The sequence below is a fragment of the Homo sapiens genome, chromosome 4, assembly GCF_000001405.40.
Source record: "Homo sapiens chromosome 4, GRCh38.p14 Primary Assembly".
Lineage (NCBI taxonomy): Eukaryota > Metazoa > Chordata > Mammalia > Primates > Hominidae > Homo > Homo sapiens.
In genome coordinates this window covers 26,450,218-26,456,190 of record NC_000004.12, presented here as the reverse complement: position 1 = coordinate 26,456,190, position 5,973 = coordinate 26,450,218, and the positions used below count along the sequence as shown (strand labels likewise).

Sequence of the window (5,973 nt, the reverse complement as noted above, 5' to 3'; positions counted from 1 at the left end):
AGCCGAGATTGCTCCATTGCACTCCAGCCTGGGCGACAAGAGCAAAACTCCGTCCCCCCCAAAAAATAAAAAAAAAAAATTAAAATAAAAATAAAAGGCAGATGCTGTGGATGAGATTATGGAACCTCGGTGACAGGTTGATTTCCCCAGATTTCCTTTACCCTGGAAGAGGTTGCGATTTGCTTTTCTGGAATTGACGTCTATATCAGATATAAGTTTGCTTTCACTGCCAACAGTATCCTTGCTGGCACCACCACCCAGGACATGGGAACCTGCCTATGATTGCTTCAGATCAAGAGATCTATTTGTGGCCAAGAGGCATGGCAGTGGGTACCCAAACATGGGATCCACTGGCCCTACCATAAACCTGCATCACCTGGAAGCAGCTGCTGTAATAGAATGATGGCACGGACTGGTAGTGGTTGAGCTAAAATGACAGTTTAAGCACCCGCCCTATGGGGCTGGGGAGCTGTCCTTCAGGATGTGGCATGAGCTCTGAGTCAAAGACCACAACATGCAACTGTATTCCCAAGAGCTAGAATACTCAGGTCCAGGATCCAAAGGATGGAAGTAGGATTTTCCCCTCTCCCCATCACTCCCAGACACCTAATTGCAGAATTTTGATTTCTGTTTCCCAAACTTGAAGCTTTGCCCAGTGCCTTAAAAGGCTCAGTTAGAGACTAGGGAATCAAGAGAACCCACCATTTAAATCCTTTTGGAAATATGACAGATCCAGGGCTGGCAAAATAGGAGAGAAATAAGAAAGAGAAAAAGAGAGAGAGTGAATGAGATGGATGTTTCTTCTGGAGGTGTCTGTGAGGGTGGTGGGTACTGGCCATACAGGTGGAAATCAGCATCCAGAGACCCAGAAGAAGTGGCCACAGCCATGCACAAGGGTCACACACACACACTAACCTCAAAGCCCAGGGCAAAGCTGAAGCATATAGGAGCTGCTTGAGAAGGAACCTTGAACATGAAGATGCCGGTCTAACACAAATCAGCAGGGGAAGGGTGCCCAGGGCCCAGCCCTCCTGCCCCCTAGTTTTTAGGTAGCCATCCAGGTGAGGCCACTAAGGTTTGACTGAAGGCAGGTATCTCCAAGGTACGGGGCATCCAACAGGAGTCCTTGACCATAACTGACAGGTCCTCTAGCAAGAGACTGTGACAGGGTGGGATCGCAGGGTGGTCAGCCTAGATCTCCCTTTCACACAAGGCTACAATGTAGGCCTTTGATACTACACCCAAATAAGGATATAAGCCATCATTGTTTTTAAACTGGGTGTGATGAAAGTGTTGATTTGTAAAAAGTAAACATTTAAAATATACATAGTTTTTGAGAACCCTGTTTTGGCATTCCTTCACTTAAAAAAAATAGATTTATTGAGGAATCATTCACAATTGAGGTATCATTTAGGTACAATTAAATTGTTTTAGGTGCATAATTCTATGCATTTGACAAACACATATAGTTGTATAACCATGGCCATATTGAAGATATAGAGTATTTCCCTCACTGCAAAAAGTTCCCTGGAGCCTCTTTATACTAAATCCTCTCTTCTCCACTGTCCCTGAAAACCATTGCTCTGATGTCTGTCCCTCAACTTTTGCCTTTCCTGGGTCATATGATGGACTCAGAGTTCATGGCCTTTTGTGTGTGGCTTCTTTCACTTAGCACAGTGCACTTGAGATAAGTGTGACTATTGCATGTCTCAGTAGTTTATTCTTCTAACTGTTGAGTTGCACTACATTGTAGATGCATTACCACAAATCTGGTGGCTTAAAACAACAGAAATTTATTCTCTCACAGTTCTGGAGACCAGAAGGTGGAAGTCCAGGTGCCAGCTCCAGGAAGAAGTCCAGGGCTGTGCTCTCTCCAGAGGTCCTAGAGGGGATTTCAGTTTCCTGTCTCTTCCAGCTTCTGGTGGCTCCAGGGGCCCTTGGCTTGTGGCTGCACCACTCCAGTCTCTGCCTCTGTCGTCATATGGCCTTCTCCTCTTCTCCCCTTGTGGGCCTCTTACAAGGACACTTGTCATTGGATTTGGGGCCCACTCAGACAATCCAAGATGGCCTCATCTCAAAAGCCTTAATTACATCTGCAAAGACCCCTTTTCCAAAAAAGGTCACATTTACAGCTTCCAGGAATTAGCACGCAGATATAACTTTGGGAAGAGCCGTCACTCCACCCACCACACATGGATAAGCCACAGTTTGTTTATTCTTTTGCCAGTTGATGGGCATCTGGGTTATTTCCAGTTTGGGGACATTATAAATACAGCTGCTCTAAACATCCACTGTTCTTTGCAGGAACCCATATTTTCATTTCTCTTGGCTGTGGGATTAGGAAGCATTCCTTCACTCTGTAACATATAAGGAAGGTGCTGCAAAAAAATGGAAGTGCATTAGTTGGGTGTGGTGGCGCGTGCCTGTAATCCCAGCTACTTGGGAGGCTGAGGTACACGTATTGCTTGAACCAGGGAGGTGGAGCTTGCAGTGGGCCAAGATTGCACCACTGCACTCCAGCCTGGGCAACAGCGAGACTCTGTCTCAAAAAAAAAAAAAAAAAAAAAAAACAAAAGGAAGTGGCCCATCTCTCTCTGCCTATCCCAAGTGGCCTTGCCCTGGGGCTTTGGTTCCACAGCTCATAGCACACTTCTTCCCTACCCTGGCTGCAGGCATGTTCAGGTCCAGTCACCTGCCCTGCTGCCCCTGCTCCTGCCCACACACCCCTGCACATCCACAGTCCAGCACCGTCCGTTTACACAAATGGGCTTCTACAGAGGAGGAGCTGGAGCAGGGAATGGAGACAATCTCATTTCCTGGGCCTGCTTCCTCGTGTGCCAGGGTTCAGGCTCAGATGTGGCAGGTTCTCTTTGTCACAAGCCCTGACTCACGAGACCTCGGTGGCCTCGGGAAGCAACAGGTATAGGGGTATCATGCTGCTGTGTGGGCCTCTGGCAGCCCCCCTGTGACCACAGCCAGGCTGACCCAGACAGACTAATGGGAGATTTAAAAAAAAGTCAAGGCACACTGCTGAGATGCAATTTTATAATCAGCCTGTAACTTGATTATCTCAAAAATAAATGAACAATCAATACCGCTAATCTCAGCGTATTCCCCTGCTGAGACAGGAAACTTGAGCCTGGCTTGTGTTTGGCTACCCATGTCCCTCTTCTGGTTCAAAGGAGTCTTCTGTTTAATGTCAACATTTGCTTTTGTACCTTTTTATGTATTTTCATTACTTGCTTCTGCTTGTCCTTGCTTTGCGTGAGAAAAACCCAGTGCGGGGGCCCTTCTAGTCTAGCTGGTTCCGCATTTGTGAGATCCTGCACACCTGTGTGACCCTCAAACTCTGACTTGTCTCACGCTGATTAGGACACATCCAGGGGAGGAAGGAGTCAGTGAGCTTGTTTAGAAACATGGCTTGCTGATGGCCACACCTGTTCCCCAGGGAAAGCTGCCTCCTAATGGGCAGGTGAGAAGGCTGGTGAGGGGAGGAGGGGCAATAAGCCCTGATGCATCCTCCATTCCGGTTCCATTATTGACTCAGGGCTCTTTAAATTCTACGTCCTTGACTTTCTGGCTCCATCACCAGCAGTAACTCAGCCTGTCTGTGCTGTGTATCGTGGAAGGCTCCACTTCATCCTTTTCCCCCCAGGATTCATTCCCTCTACTAAAAATCCCCCTCGTTAGCCTTCTGTGGCTTGAAATGCCTCGGTGTTTTGCAGGGATTCAAATTCCTAGCACAATCTCCCTTGAGCAGAGCGTCTGTTTCTACAGCAAAGGCAGAGAGATCTATCTTAACTTCCTCCCAGCTCAACTTTTATATTCTCGGCTACCCCAGGAGCTTCCTGAATTTTATGCAGCTTAATTCATGATGATAAACATGGGTTCTGGGAGGCTGAGAACAGGGAGCATTCACCCTTCTTACTAGAGAATACAGATGGCTGCTCAGACATGGGTGAAGGCCCCTCACCTCCTCCACCAAGGGATAAGTCTCAGTAGGGTGAAAATTCAGCCACCTTCCTTCCCATGTGCAGGTCTGCCTTCCACCCCAAAACACAGCTGAGTTTCCACATTGCCCAGATCAAACCTAGAATTAGCTGAGGGTCAACTTCATGCCAGGCACTTTTCATATTCAGTTTTTTTATGTTTATCAGCAACCTCAATAAGGCAGATAACATTACCCCATTTTACAGGAGGAAACTTAAGGTTAGAGAAATATAATAAAGTGAGCTGTCCAAAAACCACAGAGCTGGGAGTGAGGAAGCTTGAATCTGATAAAGTTCAAAGATATGTGCCTCTCAGGTTCATGTTCCTTTCCCATACCATGCTCCAACGGCCCCTACAATTCCCCAGCTCTCACATCATTGACATCGTCCCCTTAGTCACATCATTTAGCTTCTCTGTGCCTCAGTTTCCTCATCTATGAAATGGGTATAAGAAGTCCTGCTCTCCGGAGTTGCTGTAAGTTTTAGAAATGCAATCAGGCAGGTAAAGTATTTAGCACACTTTCTGGCACCTTAGGTGTTTAGCAAGTAGTGATGATGATTATTTTCTAGTAGCAGCATTGAAGCTTTTGATAGCAGTCATAGATCATAGAAACTTCCAGCCAGAAGTCACCTTTGAGCCCATCTATCACAATCTTCCCCTTTACAGAAGAAACAGAGGCCAGAGTGTCTAGCTGACCTTCCTAAGCTCAGAAGGTGAGGGGCTGAAATGCAGGCCTGACTTGGGAAAAATAAAACAAACAAAAAAACTGTTTACGCCTGTCCCCTGAGCTGCCTAGCTGTATTCTGGGTCGTTTGGTCTTTTTTTCTTTTTTTTTTTTTCTTTTGGTGTATGGGCTGGTGGGCTGGGAGGTGAGTGCAGGAAGATACAAATCACAATTGAAAAAAAAGTGGCAAAGGAAAGGTAGTTACAGGCTAACACCCCTAGACTGCTGGTTCTCAAAGTGGGGTCTCTGAATTCGCATCAGCTCACCTGAAACTTCTTAAACAGTTTCTTGGGCTCTAATCCAGATATCCTGAATGAGAAACGCTGGGGAAGGGTAATCTGAGTTTTAACCCTCAGGTGATTCTGTTGCAGGGTCATGTTTGAGAACCGTCACCTAAGGCCAAGGAAGGAAAATAACTGGTGTCTGTGCATAGTCTCCATCTCACACACCAGGCATCACTGCTCATAATGCCCTTTAGTTAACCGCAGATGCAGCCTCTGAATCCTTGTTTTTAAGTTCTGGGATACATGTACAGAGCGTGCAGGTTTGTTACATAGGTATACATGTGCCATGGTGGTTTCCTCCACCTATCAACCCATCATCTAGGTTTTAAGCCCTGCATGCATTAGGTATTTGTCCTAATGTTCTCCCTCCCCTTGCCTCTGACCCTCCGACAGGCCCCATTGTGTGATGTTCCCCTCCCTGTGTCCATGTGTTTTCATTTTTCAACTCCCACTTACAAGTGAGAACACGCGATGTTTGGTTTTCTGTTCCTGTGTTAGTTTGCTGAGAATGGTCCTTCTTGACACACAGCACTCCTGACAACCATCACCACTACGGGCCACAGGGAGGCAATGGAGATAGTCATGTGTTAATCCACACAGAGAAAGAGTCACCTCCCTGGACTCAATTATCCATTCCGGGAGCAACTCCTGACATTTCTGCAGTCATGTTCAAGCCCAGAGCCTGGTACAGATCTGGGCCTGTTCCAAGAACTTGGTTTTCTTAACTGTGCCCTGTCTCCTTGAGTACTGGGCTTCCCTTGCAAAAGCAGGAGCAAAACTAAAACAAACATGGAATGGAGAGCAGCTCAACTGGGCGAGGCTGGGTTTGATCAGCAGCCGGGCTGTGGACCAGCTCAGAGGCCCTAGGTGAGTCTCAAGCCTCACCTGTAGCTCCCCCGTAACAATGAAAACCTGTGAGGTGTAAGGAGAGCAACAAAGGCTTTTGGAATCAAATTTTGGTTTCTATCCCAGTTC

At 46.8% G+C, this 5,973-nt stretch overlaps 1 annotated feature.

Annotated features, from left to right (window-relative positions):
• Positions 2,782 to 3,320: an enhancer, noted in NCBI's record as "H3K27ac-H3K4me1 hESC enhancer chr4:26454493-26455031 (GRCh37/hg19 assembly coordinates)". NCBI's record gives its function as "activates a minimal SCP1, AML or CMV promoter by ChIP-STARR-seq in primed H9 embryonic stem cells {active_cell/tissue: H9 hESC(primed)}" and the evidence as "EXISTENCE:reporter gene assay evidence [ECO:0000049][PMID:30033119]".